The sequence below is a fragment of the Homo sapiens genome, chromosome 7, assembly GCF_000001405.40.
Source record: "Homo sapiens chromosome 7, GRCh38.p14 Primary Assembly".
NCBI classification, from domain to species: domain Eukaryota; kingdom Metazoa; phylum Chordata; class Mammalia; order Primates; family Hominidae; genus Homo; species Homo sapiens.
In genome coordinates, this window is record NC_000007.14 from 84,471,862 (window position 1) to 84,494,651 (window position 22,790).

Genomic DNA, 22,790 nt, shown 5'->3' on the forward strand with positions numbered 1-22,790 from the left:
TTGCTGCTTCTAATTGTAAAAAGCACATTAGGATTAGTGGATCTTCAAATCATCTGACTTTCAGGTTTTTTTTTTTCTTTTGGTATCTTAGGTTAATGCCCATGATTATTATTAATTGCATTGACCTGACACTGATCGCTAACCAAATTTAATACAGTTTTAAGAGACTAACTCAATGAATAAATAGTACATATCTCTGAGGATTACTTAACCTAAAATGAGTGTCCAGTCTATAATAAAATATTAATATATATGGCTATAATAGAAAAGCAGGCATGTGTGAGTGTATGTGATTACATGTCCATATAAGTAAAAGAGAAAAATGATAATATTGTTCATGAACTGAGGAAAAGTTAGGTTAGAGTCAAGAGATACAATGACAAACATGAGTTATATTTTCCCACTCCCCCACTCGAACACATGCTTCAGAAATATGCAGAAATTTTGAGGAAGACTTTGGTCTTTCATGGGATGTGGGTTGGGACAAGGAGGAGCTGAGGTAAAGATGTAGATCTTAAATTGCAAGGAGAGCTTAACTAACATCTTCATTATTAGACAAATAGGCTAAAACGCATTAGTGCTTCGTGCTTCGTATTATATTATGTGTATTGTATTTGTATCATGAAGCTCCCAATGTTTGTTCCATTTTTCAATCTGTATTTTGTGTGTCTTGTTTTCTGTTTTTCAGCTAAAACATGTCACCACATTTCTATCAGATACAATGTTCAATGTTTGTCAAATTTCAAAACACCTTTAAATATTTTAGAGCTAAATAAAATCTTCTGTTAAAAGTAAACTTATATGTCGCACAGGATCATATTAGAGGAACTCAATCAGAAAACAATATCCTGCTCTTAAACTGTTAGCATTACATAATTTACCATATTATTTCAGAAGAACATAATCCCACTAAACCAAATCGATCCATATAATCATATCAATAGCTTATGTTAAGGAAAAATAACATTCAAACAAAAGGAAACATTGACATTTAAGAAGTAGTATTACCTCCCAAAGTGGCAGATGATATAATTAACAACAGCTTTTAATACTGCTATTAGTTTAGAGAGATCCTCATGTGACAGCATTAGTGGCATTAAAAACGGTACTGTATATTCGGTGTTCCAAAACTTGATTTTGGAATTAGGTCTAGGTCTAAATTACAGCTCTGCCACTAAATCTAGATAAGAAACTCTATAATTTACTTAATCTCTTTGGAATACCATACATAAAATTGCTTCAGAGAAGTATTGTTTGGGCTTAATGGGAAAAAAGAAATGGTGTGTGTGTGTGTGTGTGTGTGTGTGTGTGTGAAACCTACATACTTCTTAAGTATTAGTTTCCTTCTTTGTTATTTCCTCTGAAGGTTTTATTATAAATTTTTGTGTTTAGTCACTTTTTTATTCTCTATAACTATAACTTTAAAATGAATAAAATTATTCACAGGAACAAAGAATTGGGAAATATTAAAATGTCATCTATAGATAAATCTTATATACTTTATATTTTTGTATTATTATTATTATTATAATATTATTATTATTATTATTTGCGATTGAATCTCACTCTGTTGCCCAGGCTGGAGTGCAGTGGCACATTCTCGGCTCATTGCAACTTCTGCCTCCCTGGTTTAAGAGATTCTCTTGCCTCCTGAGTAGCTGGGATTACAGGTGTGCACCACCACGCCTGGCTAATTTTTGTATTTTTAGTAGAGACAGGGTTTCAACATACTAACCAGGCTGGACTCCAACTCCTGACCTCTAGTTAGCCACCCTCCTCGGCCTCCCAAAGTGCTGGGTTTACAGGCATGAGCCACTGCTCCTGGCCTAAATATTTTAATTTCTATGGAATAGTTAAATATAAATATCTGATAAATCAGACTGCACAGAAACTAACAAAAACATTTTAAATAATGACTAGGAGCCTCAAAATTATAGAAATAATACTAAACATTGGTTCTAAGAGTAAAATTTTAAATTAAGAACATTAAAAAGACAAATATTAACAACACTGTGCTGAGTCAGGAATGAGTTATAGTTCTATTTTCCATACCTTTATTGAGCAAAAGACCAGATCCCTGAGCCGCACATAAGTCAGGATCTTGTTGAAGATCTGAATCAGTTCCAAACCCTCCATGGCTGTGTGTTTTCCATCACTGCAACAATGGCTTTCGGTCTCATCTACTAAGAAGTGGGAGAATCCTAACTCTTTCAATTTTCTTATCTCTCAGCCTTGGAAATAAGTTTCTTTCTGTTTTATCTGACTATAACATAATATTACAAAATTATATGATTAGAGAAAAGAGCTAAACCTGAACTTTGCTAGAGAAAACAGTCTATTATTTTAAGTGAGAAAACGAATAAAAATATGCAAATTGTATTTCAAAAACAGCATTACATAGAAACTTCACCTAGGACAAGCCTTCTTGTGTAGTGAAGACAGACTTTGAAAAAAGCGAATCTGAGGCTTGTTCCTAAGACAGGTTGTTTCCCAGATAGGAAAATTACTGTATGAGAAATTCTGCTCCCCTACGCAGATTGTGTAGTTCCCTCCTTTGACAGTATGTTGAGGACTGCTCCTTTTTTTTTCTCTCTCTCCCAGAGTAACATTTGAAATCATTTTGAAATACTTAATGACTACTCCTCTTTGTAGCAGCTTTTACACTTGACACTGTATCCTCTAGGTAGGTGTAATGAGGAAGATGACTCTTTTTCCCCATCAGGAGTGTAAGAGCTGATGGGTCCAGAGCCCAAAGAAGGGAGCTGAGTTATTACTACCTGACAGTTTTATAGAGTGCTTCCTCTGCAGAGTGTGAGGCACATCATAAACTGTTAATTAATAGCCGGTATTCTTCAATACACCCCTAGAGATCAGAACTGCTGCTGATGATCCTAACACCCTTGCTTCTACCTGAGAAAAAATAAGCCCCATACACAGTAAAAATGGAGAGAAAATACAAAGGACCAGTAGGAATAAATGTTTATATTTAGTCAGAAGAATTGTCTCTCTATTTTAGGGGATCAGAACGCTTTGGAGAAATATTAGAGGTTTAAAAAAAAAAGTGAAGAGAAACTATAAAGAGAGAAAACTATTTAAACGCCTAAGAAAAGAGAAGGAAATAGGATGAAGAAAAAAAAGTGAAACATCTGTGACATCATTCTTCTTACCTAAGGCCTCAGATGGGCTGGAGGCACCAGAGTTCTTGCTCCCCCTTCTCCCCCAACCCCCAAGAGTGCCGGGTCCCAGGAGTGCAGGGGCTGGGAAAGAGGGGAGTGGTACAGCCCATCTCATACTCCCTGGTGAATGTGTGTTTTGTTTTTTTTTTAACTATACATATTCAACCTGAAATTTCCTAACAATAATGGATTGTTAGAGAGAGAGAGTCTGTTTTTGTCGTTGGTTTGTTTTTTCTGTCTGCTTATATGTTTGTTTGTTCATTCTGTGTCAGGGTGTCTGTGAATGTGATGAGTGCTTGTGCTGTTTCCTTGTCATTGCTTTTGGAGTGGTGGTGGTTTGTTTGGTTGCTGTTTTAAGGTTAAAAAATTCATAGGAAACAGATAGAATTTCCTTAAATTTTTAACATTTGAGAAAATCTCAAGTGAGAAAAGCAGCCATACAGATGTTAGAGCAGACTTTATTGGGGTACGTTTTACACGCTCACCTAAATCTATTATATAAAAATATGATCACAAAATGAATTTCAAGGGCAGATTTTTAAAAAGAAAATTCACATAACATGCAACCTGGTGGTTTAATTGGAAAGTCGGAGGTGCCCCTATTTGCTTCACTTTTTTTTCCAGTATAGCATTAGTAACTAGTGCTGAGCAAATAATTTGTTAACTTACAGATGATGAGTACAGGAATATGGGTTTACTTACAGAACTCCAGACTACCTGTGGCACTTGTTTCTGCTTTCATCCCTAGACACTTGGATCAAAGCAAATTATTCCCTATAGAATAGTCTCAACCTTTGCAGTTCTCCCTAAAATGTTTCAGCATTATTTTTTTGGACTGGTTTTGTTGTCATGGTAGACTTAATCTTTAGTTTTCACATGAATCTAGATTAAGATACATCTTAGTAAAACATACAAATAAAGCCAGTTTTGCAGGAAAGATACAATATGCATGATGATAGTTTTCAATTTCCATAAAAGTTTTATATTTCCTTAGAACTTAGAGATAAGATAAAGAAAGTTGTTTAAAAATTTTTTTTGGCCAGGTGCGGTGGCTCATGCCTGTAGTCCCAGCACTTTGGGAGGCCAAGGCAGGTGGATCATGAGGTCAGGAGTTCGAGAGCAGCCTGACCAATGTGGTGAAACCCCGTCTCTACTAAAAATACAAACAAAATTAGTCAGGCGTGGTGGCGTGCACCTGTAATCCCAGCTACTCAGGAGGGCTGAGGCAGGAGAATCGCTTCAACCCGGGAGGCGGAGGTTGCAGTGAGCCGAGATCGCACCACTGCACTCCAGCCTGGGTGACAGAGCAAGACTCCATCTCAAAAAAAAAAAAAAGAAAAGAAAAAATTTTTTTTCAATGTGTCTTAGTTGTCGTCTAAATGTAGAGCCAAACACCCATATAGAGTCTGCAAAATAATGCAGTAGAGTAGTAACACTTGAAGATAGTTTCATTAAATTAGACTGACAGTGCTTAATTGAAACAACATCCAACAAATAGCATGAATGCCTACAACATTGTAGGCATTCAAGTGCCTAAAAGTATATAAAATTCTATCATTTGTAAATACTGAATGTATTGTGTTGCTATTACCTAGAAAAATAAGATATTAAAATCTTGTATTCCTTAGATGTAATAATTAAAACGGATAAATTAACCAAAAAGTGATAAAGTAGAAAAATATAGTTAGAAAACGCACAAATTATTGATTCCAGATTCTTACATTGTAGCTGAAAATCTAACGCAAGAAACAAACTTGCACAATATCAATAATTTGCTCTTCACTGTGCTGACATTAAGTTGACTATTTCTTGTAACTTAGAGACATAACTACGATTATTAATAATTCTTAGCCATGTTCTGAAGAAAAAAATAATAAGATAACATTTTGATCAGTTTTCCAGTATTTAATTAACCTCTTTTATAACACTTAACACTTGTGCTAAAGGAAAGAGACTTATCTTACTTCTAGTTGTTCCTCTGTAGAGTAAAAAGCAGTATGGTAGAGTATATGCCATGTGTTTGTTAAAAAAAAAAAATATATATATATATATATATTTTTCAAAAAAAATCCTTTATATGTTTACATCACTATTTCAACAATTAAAATGACTTAAAATAGGCAGGGTGCTGTGGCTCACACCTGTAATCCCAGCACTTTGGGGTGCCGAGGTGGGCGGATCACAAGGTCAGGAGTTCAAGACCAGCCTGTCCAATATGGTGAAACTCCGTCTCTACTAAAAATACAAAAAAATTAGCCAGGCATGGTGGAGGGCACCTGTAGTCCCAGCTACTCGGGAGGCTGAGGCAGGAGAATCACCTGAACCTGGGAGGCAGAAGTTGCAGTGAGCCGAGATCACAATGCTGCACTCCAGCCTGGGCTACAGAGCGAGACTCTGTCTCAAAAAAAAAAAAAAAAAAAAAAAAAGACTTAAAATATTCTTTGCATAAAATGGTTCCTCAAGCAATGTTGTTTAAATAAATAAAATGTGTATATTGGAGAAGACATTCTGAAAAGATAGAAATTTACTCCCACTTATTTGCTCAGATTCTCAGCTAAATTTGCTTGTTTTTTCATCATCTTGTGTGAAAAGAAGGCCTATGTATAGTGATATAACTAAGATATATTTCCATATCTATAGAGGTGTTGGGGTGTGAGATCTACAAAATAAAGAATGAAACAGTGAATTAATATCCTCTTAGCATATGTCTATCTCTGAGAGCATCCTCTTGGTCATGAATGACTGCATGGTAAAAATGTTCAGTGAATGAAATAAACATACGACCTGCATGCAATTTCCGTGAAAGTTATTGATTTGTTGATTTTCAAAACACATGGTCAATGTTGGCATTTGATTTGCCTTTGTGGAGCTCATTCTGCCTGGACTTTCTTTTGCCAAGTCACCCTCATTATCACCTTCCTCCTATGTTAGGTAACTGTAAAATTCCAAATGAACAGCTAAGCAGCCTGGTGTTGAGGTAACATCTTTTTAGAGTTGAAGTCATCATGTTACACTGGTTTGTTATTCCAGTGAGATTTCACATTCGTTAAAATATACTTTGAAATTTAGTGGTAAGAGAGACCCTCCCCTGCCCTCAGTTGCTCACACCTTCTAGTGTCAGTTCCCTGCGGGACTTGGAGCAAAACTGAGCACTCTGGCAAAGCTAAAAATAATCAGTCCATTAGTATCAAGTTGCTTTCCTGAATAAGCAAGGTGTTCTTTCTACCTCCCCATCCCCAGCCATCCTCCCACACTCTACCTGACCTCACCCTAAGATGTATTATGTTCAGAATACAATGGGAACTTCCCTGACTTACTGTTTTCACCCCAAGGATTAGTCATAAAACATAATTGCATATAAAATTACATACAAAACTTTTTGCAACTTTGTAATGTTATTTTACTCAATTCATGCTTAGTAAATATAGATCTTGGTGAAAATAAAACCATGATATAAAAAATACAATGAAATGGAATATATTAACATGAAATTTTGTTTCTTTCCAATAATGTATAATTATTATTTTATATGGTCTTTGTGAAACATCCAAAAGAGAAAATATAGATTTTATAGACTACAAAGGATTATTTTAAAAGGTAATATTTCAATATAATTAGTTAGATTTATGGGACAAGAATATTAAAAAAAAACAAATCTAAAGTGTTATGTTTAAAGAAAGGAATTTCATTTATTCTTTTTCTCTGTTATAATTTGACATTAGTTAGAAAATATCAAGCAGTCTCTATTCTTAAAATTATTAGTTACTCCCATATGTCTGGAATTAACAATAATTAAATCTTTTTAGCAATAGCTATAGAAAATATTATTTATTTTTTATAAATTTTCTAAGTTAAATAGAAGGTGATATGACACGCCTGTGATTATCAACCTTATATAAAATCATACTTATAAAAGCATCCTCTAGTCCTTCTCTTGTCAAATATATACTAATGTGCTCCTCAAAACAATTTCCCAATTTCTTATCTTTCTTTGGACATCTGGAAAATACATTAGTAACTATAAAACAATTAGGTCAAGTGTTCTTTTTCAAAATATAATTTTTACAGCTATCCACAGAATAATAAAGACATTCTACTAAGATTATTTTTCATGGTAAAAAATGCATCAAGTAGGGTCTGCTTTGGGGGATTGTAAGGGGAGAAACCTGGGGTGCCTTAAGGTTAATGGACAGTGATTAAGGTTAATGGCTAAGTGCTTAAGGTTAAGTGCTATATTTACATAGCTGTCAATTCCTTAAAAAAAGTCTTTATGTCTATCAATCAGTTCTAGCTAATAGCCAATTAAACAGCAAACGGGGGATACAGACATAGGTAAAGACCCTTTAACCTGCATTTATAGGGTGGAATGGTCAACTTTCAATCAAGAAGTACTTATTGAACACCTATTTTGTCAAGGCTGTGTTGCACACAAAAATGTAGACATCATGGCCCCTGTGTTAAAAATGCTTAGTATCTAGCAGAGAATAGAACTAGATATGGAAATACATCAGTATGGGCAGCTATCAAATAAATGACACAGATGAGACATGCTATAGAATTCAGAGGAGGTAAATATACTATGTAGCTCAAGATTTCAGAAAATCGGGAAGGATATTTAAAATAAACCTTAAAATTAATGTTTGTCAAAGAGCTATATTTTATTCTTAAAAAAAATACAATCCCAAATAATGTGAATATACGTCAATGACACGATGTACCATACATACTGCTCTGCATTAAGATGACTTCAACAATTTAACAACAATACTAATAAATAAGAAGCTCAATAGTTAGGAATATGCATATGTTCCTCTTTTTTACACACAAAATCTCAAGATCAATTTAAAGCAGCAGCGACAACAACAACAACACAGCCAAAGCAAAGCTAGGTTAGTGTATTAACTCTGAATCCAATGCAAACTTTCTTAAGCGAGGCAAACCAGAAAAGTTTAAGTTAATATAAGGGTCTAAAGTATCCAGCAGTTATTTAAGGCATACTGCATCACTAACCCTTAAATGACAACATGATTAATTAGATAAAGAAGTTTACTAAAGCAAGATTAATGTTCATTTCTACAAAAAAACACTGAGAACAGTGCTTCATAGATGGAATGGCCTCACTTTCGCTCAATTAGCAACATTCAGGCAGGGCTCTGGGGTTTTTTGTTTGCTTGTTTGTTTTTTTGTTTTAACTTTTTTCACTCTCGCTGAATTTCCAACTGCAAGATTGGATTTTGATTGCAGAAGGAAGGTATACTAGGAATGGAGAATGGAAGGTAAGGGACTGAAGAGAAACACCTGGAATGGAGCAGAAGTGAAAAATAGTAACACAAAAACATTAAAAGTAAATTTTAAAACTGCTCGTAGGGAATCTTTCCATTCAGTAATTTTCTTCCATTAGCTAATTTCAAAATGTTTAGAGCATGAGCATAAAACAGACAAAGATAAATGAGTACCAGAAATTCATAGTGAATTTTAATACATCTTGATCTTCTGACAGCCAGAATGCTGTCCAGGTAGCAGTGCCCAGGGTCAGGGTTGGCCTGAGCAGAAGATTAGAGCTCTAAGGCAAGATTGAAGGGCCCCTTAGCTCCTTGACCTGAAATTCATCTCTTTTTGAATTTTTCTGAAACTGAATATTATCTGTTTTTGAATTGGAAGTGTCCTCTTTTTAAAACGTAACTACCCCCGAAGTGTTAGAACTTTATCAATTTAAGGATGTCCTATCAAACTGTATTTTCAACATACTGTGTCTATGTTTAATCATCTTTGCTCCCATAATGTAGCAGTGAGTATTAAATAGGATGAGTGTTTTGACTTAGGAATTAGTGGGAAAGAGGGTAGCATACCAAAAATAAAATAAAATAAATAAATAAAGACTTTAATAGCATGGAGCTTTATGAATTGGAAACACTGATGTTGGCAGATGTTCAGTATTGGGAAAAATCTAAAGTTAGTAAGAAGCCTATGGCATGAGGGTGACTGTTTTTGAAAGAAAGGTAGAGAAGTTACCCTGATTTTGGAAAAGTGTGAGGAGAGAGTGTCAAAGATAAAGCTCATGACACTTGAAATTTGCTAAGAAGCAATCCTGTTCTTTGTATTTTCTAGCTCCAAAGGCTTCTAAGTAAAGAAAGATACAACTTAATGGTGGGGTTGACCATTGAAAAGATACGAGGGCAAATCTAAATCTTCAGGGACCCACTGGTCTTTTAAATATTTACTACCCTCACCTTTTGCATGTGTCTCATTATTAATGGCTTCTGCTGCAAAGGGTGGGACTAAACCTAATTAAAAATGAACATTATTTCAAAGCTCTTTTAGAGTAACTCTGAGATGTTTTCCTAAAGGAAATAAACCCAAAAATGCTTTAAGTATATTATTCATCCAAATTGAAAGAGCCAGCTACAACTGATGTTGAAATCCACTATCTGTTAAATAAGAAATGCAGTGTTTAATAGAAAAAAGATCTGGCATAAACTTTATATATCTCTGATATTTCCCCAAAATTTATATCTTTGATTTCAAAAGGAATATGAAATAATTGCAATACTTTTTAATTTAAGTAATGCTAAATATGGTTTCTTATGTTTTTTCTTATTACACATAATTCAAGATAAATTAAGTTCACTCTTTTCAGCTAATTATATTGCACCATCTTCATTTTATTACAGTGTCTATAGCTTGACAGAATAAAATGTTACCTTTAATAGAAGACGCAAATTATTATCTATTTAAAGTGGAAGAAATGAATTTTAATTATTTAATTTGTGATAAGCACTCAAAAGAAGACAGCAAAGTTAACTAAAATAATCAATGCCCTCATTTTTCAATATTCAAGTAATGAGGATATTTAATTACTCAAGAGTAGTTTATTAATTTAGTCATGATTGACTGTAAGTCACTAAAAAGCATCGTAAAAGTAAGACTTGTTTAAATTAGTACATATCTTTTTAAGAGTAATATAGCTTCTACCTAAAGTTTATTTTTAAAAGCTTGTTTTATGTCTTAATGTTGACTGATGTTAACTTATCATAAATGAAATTATATATATAGGCATTTGAAAAATTAGGCAAAATATCAAATTCATCTATTTCAAACTTCTCATCGTATAAGTTAAAATATTGAGGTAGTGTTATTAATGTTATTAATGTAAGAAGTGTGTAAGTGCTATTAATGTTACTTGTCCAAGCTCATGTTTATTTTGACTTTACTACAGTAGAATCTCTGAACTTTTGGATAATTCTCTATCATAAAACAATGCACATATAAATGCGTATGTATTTTATAATTATTGTATACCGAATATCTATTCCTAAATGGTAAATTAGTAGACTCAATTTCATTCAACATATATTTAGTGTTCATTAATGAAATATTATTCTTTTGAATTTTTAGTGGCGCTTTTAAATTCTAATCAATAGCATTGGCAATAACATAGTAAATGAAGCTAAAATATTCTGAGACTGTTCAACCCAGGGCCCTTCCTAAAAAAACAGTTGGAGTCAGTCTTTAAACACTGATGATCATAGTTGCAGGAATTTACAAGGTGTTATTTGTCCATTACACTGCCTCCCTATAGAACAGCCCAAGTACCCACCACATTCACATTTTTCCCTTAAGGCATGCTAACCTCATGTGTGGCCTATATATGGCATTATTGTTGTGGCCACAACTGCGGTTAGATGCCTGCATCCTCTTATAGCCTCTTCCCACTGTTAAAGATGGTGCTGCATAACTAGTATCCTGAGTTTTGGTAGAAAATCCCTGCTTTTCTTATGTGAAACCTTATTTATTTCAAAAAGTTACATGATAGACTCAAAATTCTAGTTTTTTTTTTTTTTTGGAGTGTAGTCTCAAACTTTCTTAGTCTAGTCTCATCTGAAAGTACCCTTGGAATGTTTAATTAACAAATCTAATCTCTTTCAGCCCTTTGAAATGTTTACTTGTAGGTGTAGTTTTTAAAGTTTACAGAAAGGGCAGAAATACATAAAATGTTTTGGAAGCAAATCAAAACTATAAATAATGAGAGCTCTATGTGCAATAACTATAACCATAAACTAAAGCACAGGATTGCATTTGTAGACATAATGGGAATAGGCCATGCTAGTCCTTAAAATTAATTTTCTCAAACTCCATGTTAACTACCCATGGATAAAAAGCTAACAAAATTTTCACTTCATGGTAATTTGACCTTTTGTTAACTATCTAGTTCCATTCCCCTCGAAAATTATAAAAATTAGAATGTCAACCACATTACTGGGAAAATTTACCTATAGGAAAAATGACCCTTAACTGCTACAATGAATCAGGACTAAGAAAATTGTAAATACCTGATAGTAACCCTAATGTTGGGTATCCCTGAATATGGTGATGATTTTCACTGGGCAGGCCCCTTGCAAGAATCCTAGAAGCTGTGTCTCTCTTGTTATAAAAGATATCATTTTTTATAGAGAAGGAGGCTTTCAAGCCAGGAATTTCCCTCACTTGCCACATTTTGACCTTGCCTGCTAGCACCTGAGTTGTTGGACTACTTAAGGACTGCCTGAATTGGTGCCCCAACAGTGCTTTGCTAGTGGTCCATGGTTCTTTCTTGTTCTAGCTTCTGAGTAGGGTAGTGTCAGATGCAGCCAATGGTAGTCTTTTGAGTCTAGTTGTTAAGGAAAGTTTTCAAAGACTTTGAGTGGGGAATAGACAACCCATATCATACTAATTAAAAAAAAATCTGGGTCAGGCACAATGGCTCACGCCTGTAATCCCAGCACTTTGGGAGGCTGAGGTGGGCAGATCACCTGAGGTCAGGAGTTCGAGACCACCTGGATAACATGGTGAAACTCGTTTCTACTAAAAATACAAAAAATCAGCCAGGTGTGGTGGTGCACGCCTGTAATCCCAACTACTCGGGAGGCTGAGGCAGGAGAACCACTTAAACCCAGGAGGCGGAGGTTGCAGCGAGCTGAGATTGTGCCACTGCACTCCAGCTTGGGCAACAAGAGTGAAACTCTGTCTCAAAAAAAAGAAAAAAAAAAAAAGAAAAAATCTGGGTTTTGTCACAGTCAAAAAGGAAAGTTCATAATTTCCAAAATGGACTAGTTAAGAAAAAAACAGTGTTGATAATAATATAGTACTAAAAATATTATAATCTACCTAGAAGACCACTGTGTAAGGCTGTGGGTAGCTTTAACACAGTTTAAAGTTACACATTAAATAATTTTAAAAATGTAGTGTTCTTATAGTAGCAGAGAATAGCAAGTGGTTAACCTAAATGTTCAAAACATTAAAAGACTGAATAAAACAGGAAACAAATATTTTAAATGCATATATTTTTCTTGTTGGTGCATATAAAAATTTGTAATAAGAGCTTTTTTTTTAAATTATAGAGTATAGCTATTTAAACAAAATAAAAATTCTTCTTTTTAATTTAACAAACCTATCACTGTGGAGTATCTAATAGGAATCCTGTCAAGTAGACGGTTTTACTTATGCATGCACATATTCACTTGTTCACTTTCACACACACACACACACACACACACAGAGAGCAAGTTTTTATCACATTGTAACACTGAAATTAATAAATGTACCTTAACATAGGATGTAAAGATTTTATGTAAAAATATAGCATTTCCGACTGGTGACATCATCTTTAGCATTATATCCTCATAAAAGTGCCAAAGTAGAATACATTCCAAAGAACGGCATTACTTATTTCTTGAATCAAAATATGATGGCAATACTGATGCTCTTAAGACACTTATGACTCATATAAATAAAGTATGAATGCTCATCCTTAAGGATCATAATATATTGAAGTAGTACAACCTCTAAATTCCAGTCCAAAGGAATGGAACTATAATACAAACAGTTTTTATTGCAACCTGCACTGCATGTGGGCATCTTGGCATGTTTGTACATATTTACTGCTTTTATAATTGGATTAGTCATCTGAATAAATTTCTGTATGCTTAATCTTCTTTAGAAAGTCAAGAAAATAGAACACATTGCTCATTTGTAAAATGGAAATGACAAATCTACCTTTATTTGTTAATATAGAGATTACATAAGATAATGTAAGCCACATGACCATAGTAGTTACTGCAGTAATGTTCCTTTTCCATATTTACTAACATATATTTTTAATATTTTAAATAAAATGTAAATGTTTGCACATAAACTAACAGTACTCAAATTTTCATGTACAAAGTAGATATTTGGCCGCAGTATTGGATGTGATAAAATATACTTCCATCATTATTTAAGAAGTGAAAAAATCAAAGTTTTTTGGTACTATTTCATGGGGTAGCTGAGAGCACACATGAAAATACATGTTAATATTTTATGTATTTTTTTTTTTTTGGAAGAAAAGGGTCTTACTCTGCCACCCAGGCTGGAGTGCAGTGGGGCGATCATAGTTGATTACAGCCTCGACCTCCTGGGGTCAAGCAATTTTCCTGCCTCAGCCTCCTGAGTAGCTGGGACTACAGGCCCACACACCACTCCTAATATTTATATTTGCTTTTTGTAGAGGTGGGGTTTCACCATGTTGCCCAGGCTAGTCATGAACTCCTGGGCTCTAGCAATCCTCCTATCTAGGCCTCCAAATGTGCTGTGACTGCAATTGTGATTTACTGCTCCCGCTTTATGTGAATTTCAGACATCCTTACCAGTACTAACAATTTTCTCTACTTTACCATGCTTCAAACCAATATTAGCTGTGATTGAATGGGTAAACCAAACTTAATTCAAAGGTTTAGTATTGTAGGGCTTACTTTCAAGTAATAAAGATTTGGGGCTCCCATTGTTAACTTTGTTTCATTTCTGAAATTGTTGAAAACTGAGGTACAGAAGAGGCTCATTTAGAAATAGTATTAATCAAATATGAGTCTTTCATCAAGTTTACAAATTGGGAAAATTTTTGATAAGTGTTTTCTTGGCCAGAGAAAGAAATTTTGATTTTTTGGTGAAATGGAAATTAGACTCAGAAAAATGTTTAATAATTAAATATCATTAAACATATTTTAATCTAAAGGGGAAAATAGGCATTATGGTTTACGTGATATAAAACAAATTACAGGCCAGGCGTGGTGGCTCACGCCTGTAATCCCAGCACTTTGGGAGGCTGAGGCAGGCAGATCATGAGGTCAGAAGATCAAGACCATCCTGGCCAGCATGGTGAAACCCTGTCTCTATTAAAAATACAAAAATGAGCTGGGCGTGGTGGCATGTGCCTGTAATCTCAGCTACTTGGGAGGCCAAGGAAGGAGAATCACTTGAACCAGGGAGTTGCAGGTTGCAGTGAGCCAAGATCGTGCCATTGCATTCCAGCCTGGCGACAGGGCGAGATTCTGTCTCAAAATACAAAAACAAAAACAAATACAAAAAAACAAATTACATCAAAGATTTATTCCTACACCACATCTAAAATATTTTACAAGTCTACCAAGCATATTACGTGAAACATCATATATATGGCTTGGGCATGCTCCTATATTCTTTTCTATCTTATAGTAACTTCTCAGAATTCCTTATAGTACTTTACAAATAGTTTTGCAAAGTTTATTCACGAGTATTCACACAAATGTTGCATGATGGATACTCTGTACATTTTGAAAACAAGGCAGTGATTGTCACAAAGAGGACCTGAGCCCCAGTGTTTTTACTTAATGCTCACTCTTCTCTTTATAGAGAATTTTGGATTTGTGAGTTAGCCAAATATAATTATAAACACAGAAATGCATCGCATAGTTAATAGCATTTATTTCAGGAAAATAAGTTTGAGAGTGACCAAAAATATTATTTGTCAGAAAAACATCATTATGTAGCATGTAAAATTCAAGCATATTAGTGCATCTCACCAGAAAAAAAAGATTAAATCCTCAAGCTTTTAATAGAAGTACAGATAGAATACTAACGATTCCTCTCTGTCTCTCTCATACAAATTTGAAATGCACAATATTAAGTAATAAAACAAAAGTGAAGTTACTACTAATTAGATGCCTCTTTGATTTCTTGCTTTAGACACACCTGCAGCTAACTTCTACTGTGAACATATAGCAATGATAATATTAAAAATTTATACCCATGCTTAAAAAAATGGGTATTTTAATGGGCCTCAAATGAAAAGAAATATTTAATATTAAGCAGGGCTAGAAATGAAAAAATATTAGATTTTGGCTGCCTGCAAATCCAGACCCAGGTGGCCAGGAGTCTAACTCATGTAGGGAAACTGGGACCAAGAGCCCCCCATGCAAAGGGAAGACTGTGAGTTGGGTTGATTGTTGTGACTGCTGGCTGGGACTTCAGGTTGTTTGAAACCGTGGAAGTAAGCAGAGACTTCTACTCAGACTACCCAGATCTGGGTAGAAGTGTCCGCCAGCAATGTCTAGGTCTGCAGTGTTCCCAATATTTCCCTGGAACATGAGCCAGAAGCAATTAGCATAAGAATTAATTCTAGACTGGTTCCCTGGTAAAAGGCTTGTAATGTCAAGTAAGAACAGAAAGAGGGAGAGAAACACTTTTCCACTTAAGATGAACTTACAAATAAAAATAAAGTAGTTACTAGATAATTCAAAAAGGATTTATGAGGATAAGATTAACTTCAAGAAGTTAACCTGTGGATCTCTTTGACTAATGATAGTGATAGAGGAAGTCCACTGTTTTTAAGTAATCATCAATCCTCAAGGTATTTAGAGCTTTCAGATCCTGTCACCACAGATTAATTTTTCCAGGATCTTGAGATTACTTTTTAAAAATCGTTTTTTTCTCTTTAAAAAAAACAAGAATAGTCTATGACTTTATAAATGCTGATCATATTTAAATATCTTTTATACAAACCAAAGGAAAAATGAGAATTAAAGGAACATTTCTACCTACTCTTTTGTAGAAAATGAGTTGGGGTTGCTCAGGTTTGAAGGAACTTCCTCATGTTCATTCCATTTGTCTTGCGTAAGTCTGCTTGTGTTTGTAAAAGTAAACTATGTGTTGGTTTAATAATTATAATAATATGGACTGTTAAAAATAAAATGAAATCTCTCTTTAAAATGAATATCCTGTGTTTATACGGGAAAGGATAAACCTATAATATTAAAAATAAAAGATATAAGTTTTTTTGTCATAAATATTTTGTTTTTATTTTCTTCACAAAGAATCTCCATCATAGTGATGTCTGTCTTGAGAAGAATGTTTTTCACTAGAGAGACATACCACATATGTAGGTTCTAGGAAATTATATTTTAAATGAAATATTACAAAGAGGTGTTTTCCAGCTATGTTTCTTCGTATATACACACACACACACACACACACACACACACACATATATATATGTACTCCCCACAGATAAGAAGAAAATTCAATTGCCATTCTATCTTTCAAAAAACAAATACCCAGATAGTCCTATTGAATAACTGAGGCCTTAAAGTCTTTGAAAGTGGTTGACAGCTCATTTTTTTTTTCACTGCTTTGCAGGCGGGAATGTGTTTAGGTGATTCTCATTGAAAGACTATTGTGATTAGAGTGATCTCTGTTTGTCAGTCAGCCAGACATCGCTGGGTTGGAAATACCCTGAGGAGACAAACTTTCCAGAGTCCCACTATTAACAGGTGTGGACATGTGAAATGAGTGAGAGTTGAAGGGTCAGCTCTTCCTCACATGTCAGAAATATAACTGCAACTCCTTCTTTACCTATAGTCAAACCTCTGAAAATACTGGGGTAAAGTATTGAGTGATGTAACCTGAAGTGAGATCATATTCCTTGATTGACAACCAACTATTTACGCTTTATTTGATTGGGCATTCCAACAAATTCATTTTGGAATTTCTTTCTAAATTCAAGTAGTCCCGATAAGATGGTCAGAGATAAAGCTAACTTTCCACTAATAACGAAGTCACCTATTAGAGAGGTAGTACAGTCCGGTGGTTGGGGTAGCATCTTCCCTCAAGCAAAGTTAATTTGAACCCAAGTTACACTATTTACTACCTGTATGAGTTTGTTCTCACACTGCTATGAAGAGATACTGGAGACAGGATAATTTAAAAAGAAAAGAGGTTTAATTGACTCACAGTTCCACATGGCTGAGGAGGCCTCAGGAAGCTTACAATAATGGCAGAAGGCACCTTTTCACAGGGTAGCAGGAGACAGAATGAGTGCTGAGCAAAGAAGGAAACCTCTCGTCAAACCATCAGATCTCGTGAGAACTCATTCACTATCAGGAGAGCAGCATGGGGGAAACCGCCCCCATGATTCAATTATCTCCACCTGGTACCGCCTTGACACATGGGGCTTATTACAATTCATGGAGAGACTTGGGTGGGGACACAGAGCCAAACCATATCACTATCTGCATGTCACTAAGCAAGTCCCTTAACCACTCCGTTTTCACATTCGTAAATGAGAATAGGAACACTATCTACTTCATTGGACTGTAAGGATTAAATAAATCATGGCATGTTTAGAGCAGTTTCCAGGAATTTATTTTGTGAAAGCCCACTAATGTTATTCATTAGAACTCTGGAAGTAGTTGGCTTCCAACTCAGAGCAAAAAAATGGAATCTTGAATAATGGAATAATGGGAAGATGTAGCTGTGGCCATTGACAAAATATGACACATCTAGGAAGCACTGTGCCCATTTTACAGAGTTACTAGATTTTTCTCTTCCTTGAGTGGCTGTTGAAAGCTCCTCTTGTGCGATGTTGGCGTTCAAAATTGAACTCCTTTTTTCTACACTTTCTATCTTGATGTCTAATATAATTCCTTCACTATAAGTGAACATGAAGTTATTAAGTTATGTAAGTGTTGATATGTGGTTAAAAAAGAAAATTTATTAGAAAGAGAATATCCCTTAGAATAAGTTGATATATCCTGGGTCTTCTAAAAATTTTCCTCTAAGCATATAGCAATTTTCATATGTAATAAATACAGTATATATACTTATATTGTTTGTATTCTTTAATTACTTATATTGCAATCTTATTTGAAAACATGTATAGATAAAGCCACAGGGACACAAAATGCATAATACATGAAAAAATTGTAAACATATTTAAGGACCACATAATTTATTCATTACCTTAATTTTATAGGATATTTATTAACAAATTATAATTCCAGTAAAAAGAACCATTTAAAAAATGTAAGTTGGATATAACCACAATGCTTTTCCAGCAAAAAAAAAAAAAAAAAAAATTAACTGGAAAGACTATAACACCACCACCATTACAAATCTTCTTTGAGGTTGTCACTAGGATTAAAATTACTGTATTCATCCTCACTCAGCTATACTTGTCAATGATTTTTCGCCATTAGTGAAAAATCATTATCTTTTTGAGTTACGTGTGTATATTCACTTGCTAGCACATAGCTAGCATTTAAGCATAATAAGCCTAGGTTAAAAAATCAGACCTTTTTTCCAGTCTACTTTTATCCATACAGTGCCTTTTAAAAGTTCATTAAGTTAACTGAAACTTAGGCAAAGGCTATATATTCCATTTGGATAAAGAGTAAAATTTTCATTCACCAATTATTAGCTTGATTGATTTTTTCACTTAGTTGTTATTTCTTTCTTTACTAAACCAAATATACTGTTGTGTTGCTATCATATAAAAGCAACCACAATGCATTAAAAATGTGCAATATAATACTACTTGATTTTTATTACACTTTGAAAAGCAAATGGAGTAAATCAAGAAGAAACAAATCTAAATGCCATGCTGAAGTGAGGTCCAGCCTTTGAAATCAGCTTCCTATTAATCACAGTGCTGACCTTTTCATTAAGGGGCACTTGTTGAAGTCATTGACACGGTTACGGCATTCATATGTGTGAACTGTACTCTATGGCATTCATGTGCTGGGGAAGGCATAGTGAAATTAGAATCTCTCCCTGTAGGGGGTAGACATTGACCGCTATTCAATGCCAACGATTGTCGGTTAAAGTATTTCATGAAGAATGACTGTGAAACTCCGTTTACTCCACCATCAGTAATGTCAAATGCAATTCTTAAAGAAATATATTTAACTAGAAGTAATTAATTAAACCTCTCATAGCAGCAACTTTATCCAAGCTAAATCATTTCTGAATATACACAAAGGAGTCATCAGGATTCTACCGTCATGGCTTTTAAATCATCATTTTCAATGATGTCCATCTATAATAGTTAGAAAATAAAAACAAAACATTGGCCGATGGGGAATTATTTAAACAGTGCAATACTGTTTTGTCTAATTTTGCCTAACTACTCTACATATGTGCATTGCCTTTTGAGATGACAATGTCTTCCAGACTAATTTTTCAAATTAATAATGGTTAAATTTAAAAAGATCAACTCAAATGACTATTACTAGATAAGAAATGCAGAAAGGTTTTCTTGCATTCTCTTTAATCTGATCAGCTTTGTGCAGTGTTTGATGGATTAATTCAGAAATCATTAATAACTGGAATCTTTGGTAGGGCATATGTTCTATGTGTTTATTTCTTACATGAAGCATCATACATTTGAGCAGCAAACACATTCTTTTACATTGGCTGACATTCCACCTGAAAGTCCACCACAGTTAGCCTGTTAACACAATTCAGAATATATGGTAGAGTAGTAAAAAGATTCCCCATAGCCAAGTAAAAATCAGAGTAGGGGGCTCAAGGAACAAGGTTGTACTTAGATCAAATCTGAACTTCAAGTTCAAACATAGTTTAATGGTGAATCCAAAGTTGTAAATGCAAAATAAACGCAATGTGAAGACTGCTTTAAACCAAGCATGAAAGACTAAAAAGTCAAAGTTGAGATTTTGTACATCTGGTTTTAATATATCTTCTTATGTTATTAGACAAATGACCTTTTGTTTTGTTTTGTTTGTTTTAAATACTCACTATCATTGTCATTGCTGCTACAACCTAATACTCTTTTAGAGTTTTTAGTGTCACTTCTCTAGTAAGAGATCAAGCTATAGAACAGATTTGTTAGGCAAAAATTATACGCAAATTCCTCACATTAATGTATGAAGAGTAACGTAGCAGTATAGTTATGCATAAAAGTGAAATCCATTTTCAAGAAGGGTATGTGCTTTAAAGATTTTTTTGTGTGTGTTCTCGAAACTGACAAAATACTTGCAACCATCATTTTTGACAGTAATAAAGGACATTTCACCCAGAAGTAGCAGTTAATACGGCAAAATACAGGATTGAATTAACAGTATTATTAGCACCACATTTCAGTTCCGAGACCTTCTGAATGAGGAGTCACTTCAGGAGCATTTAAGTATTAATGACAGTGCCAGGGCATTGTGCAAAATGAAACTGGAGAAATTAATGGGGTTATGAACATAAGCTTTGTCCTAGTTCACTTTTGCACAGTCTTTAGAGGATTCCCTGGGAGTAAACACCCGTAATTAATTCCCAAGTAAAAGAAAGAAAGAAAATTTTTTCCACTTACTGCCTTTGTTGTCCTTTGTCCATGCGTTGAAGTCAAAGGGCTGTTCTGTTCTTACCTAGCTCCAGGTTGCCCTCCAGATTAGGGATAAATGTGAGCAGCAAGAAGCATGTTCACTTTGTAACTGTACCAGGAGCAGCCCATCACACTGATGCTAGAGAGCCAGTCAAGACACAGCACTAAACTTCAGCATGAGAGCACAGAATCTATTACCCCTGAGGCTCTACCATTTCACCTACACCTGGGCGGATCTATCAGGCTTCATCTCTATTAGAGCTATTTGACTCTGTGGTTTAAAAGGGAGGAGAAAAAAAAAAAAAGGAGGCTTGCCGTTGTCACACTTGTTTCCTATTAAAGAGCCTTACGGTGGATTGAGTAATTGTGTACGAAGGTAGTCTGGCTGGCAGATGTGTGCAGCCCCAGCGGAGCACTAGATTCAAGGCAGATGGGTTGTACCAGGGCGCAAACAACATTGAGAGAGAGGCGTGATTAAAACAGCAGGCCTCTGTTTTATAGTGCTGGAAGTGGGGTAGCATTAAAACTCCTAGGAGACAGAGTTTCCCGAATGGTATTGCTCTGTAGCAAAGAAAACAATAAATTCAATAAAAAAGAAAGATTCTCAAACTACAATAGTTATAGAGATATTTTTAATAATCACTTTAACTATTAATGAGGGGCTAAATAATGCACCCTTTCCCCAATACCCTAACTGAACTTAATTAAAACTACTCAATCATGGGTCATAGTGGGTTATTGATAGTGTTAACGTGATGGATTTGAAACAGATCCTTCATTCTGCTGCATAAGCCAAGTTATCTTTTTAATCTGAATTAAATTGCTTTAAGGAGATTTACACTGTCAGGCAGATTGACATTCTGCAATTGGACATTTATTTTAATGTTCTTGAAGCCAATTTTTATGGAAAATGTCATCATCTAGGTATTTCTGTATATTACTTATTATCTCAGGCACCTTAACCCGTGAAAACTTCAGGGTTTTCTGTGTCACCACTCTTTTTCACAAGAAAACAAATGCATAAGTAATCAGAATGAGTATAATTAACTTCCAAAAATCAGGCCGTTGGATCTATTTTCCTTTGTTGCTGAGAGCTATTTTCCTGTGTTAAACAGTGTGCGACTACTATTGTTAATCATGATGATGATGGTAACTGAACAGTTGCTACATGACAAACTATGTAATGAGCATTACACACATCATCTCTTTTGAGTCCTACAAGGACACTGTAAGGTCAATATTACTATTATTATCACTTTTTTTTCTTTTTAACAAATGAGGGAGTCTCTGAGAGGTTACTGTACCCAAGGTTATGGTTTTGTTATGGTTGGAAGCAGGATTCAATTTGATTTGCCTCTAGAATTCTCACTCTTCCCCATGTCAGACAGTCTCCATGAAGAATAATTTTTATCCAGCACAGAATCAAATGATTATCATTGATTTATTTTATAAGAAAATAAAAAATAAACTCCTATTCATATGGATAATTATAATTTAGAAGTGGATACTCTAACTTCATGTGCCCAAACTGGTAGTAGAAATATAGTCTAGTCTACTGATAAAAGTGTAGACTCGTGATAGAGGGACCCATCAAGTTAAGAAGTACCTAAGCACTTATATTTTTAAAATAGTTTATTAGAACTTTTTTATAATGAAAATCTCTTGAGCAAATGTTTCTTTAATATCCCTAATTCCTTTGTAGCAAACTTGAAGAAATAAGTACAGGATTAAACATTAAAAATTATCAATCAATTTTCCATGTTTCCATAAGTTGTCCAAAATTAATTCATTGTTTGATTAAAAATTTGTATCATCCTTTTCAGATTTTACCATTTCTCTGTAAATAATTACTTTATTCTAACAGAAGCTTATTTTACTCATCAGTAAAATAATATAATTCAGCAGACTAAAAAGAAAAAACCTCATTTCACTCCTGGAAACAAAAAAGACAAGAAAATAATTATTTTAAAAACTATGTTAAACTTCAATAAAAACTGTATTTAAATTATGAGACTAACATTTATTGAAAATTATAAAAGTTAAACAACAATATAAAAGTCTGATTTTTAAATAATTGCATTGTCTTATTCTGTATGGCAGATCACACTAGCATACATATCTTTTGCCCTCTGATTTTGGATATTTACAATAATCACACTAAACAATTAGAAAAGTGTTCT

The 22,790-nt window shown here is 34.3% G+C and overlaps 1 protein-coding gene across 2 annotated transcripts in view, besides 1 other annotated feature; it reads right to left on the reverse strand.

The window, feature by feature from the left end:
* The window catches only part of SEMA3A (semaphorin 3A), a 536,949-nt gene extending 516,085 nt beyond the window's left edge, over positions 1-20,864 (reverse strand). For both annotated transcript variants that reach the window (XM_005250110.4, XM_047419751.1), the window contains exon 1: positions 20,599-20,864. The gene's annotated coding sequence lies outside the window, so the exon portion shown is untranslated. The remainder of the gene's footprint in view (positions 1-20,598) is intronic.
* Positions 8,414-8,583: an enhancer, noted in NCBI's record as "experimental_100364 CRE fragment used in MPRA reporter constructs". NCBI's record gives its function as "activates a minimal promoter by MPRAs in K562 erythroleukemia cells, with activity observed for the non-introgressed 7:84109676 variant allele {active_cell/tissue: K562}" and the evidence as "EXISTENCE:reporter gene assay evidence [ECO:0000049][PMID:34662402]".
* Positions 20,865-22,790: the final 1,926 nt, after the last annotated feature.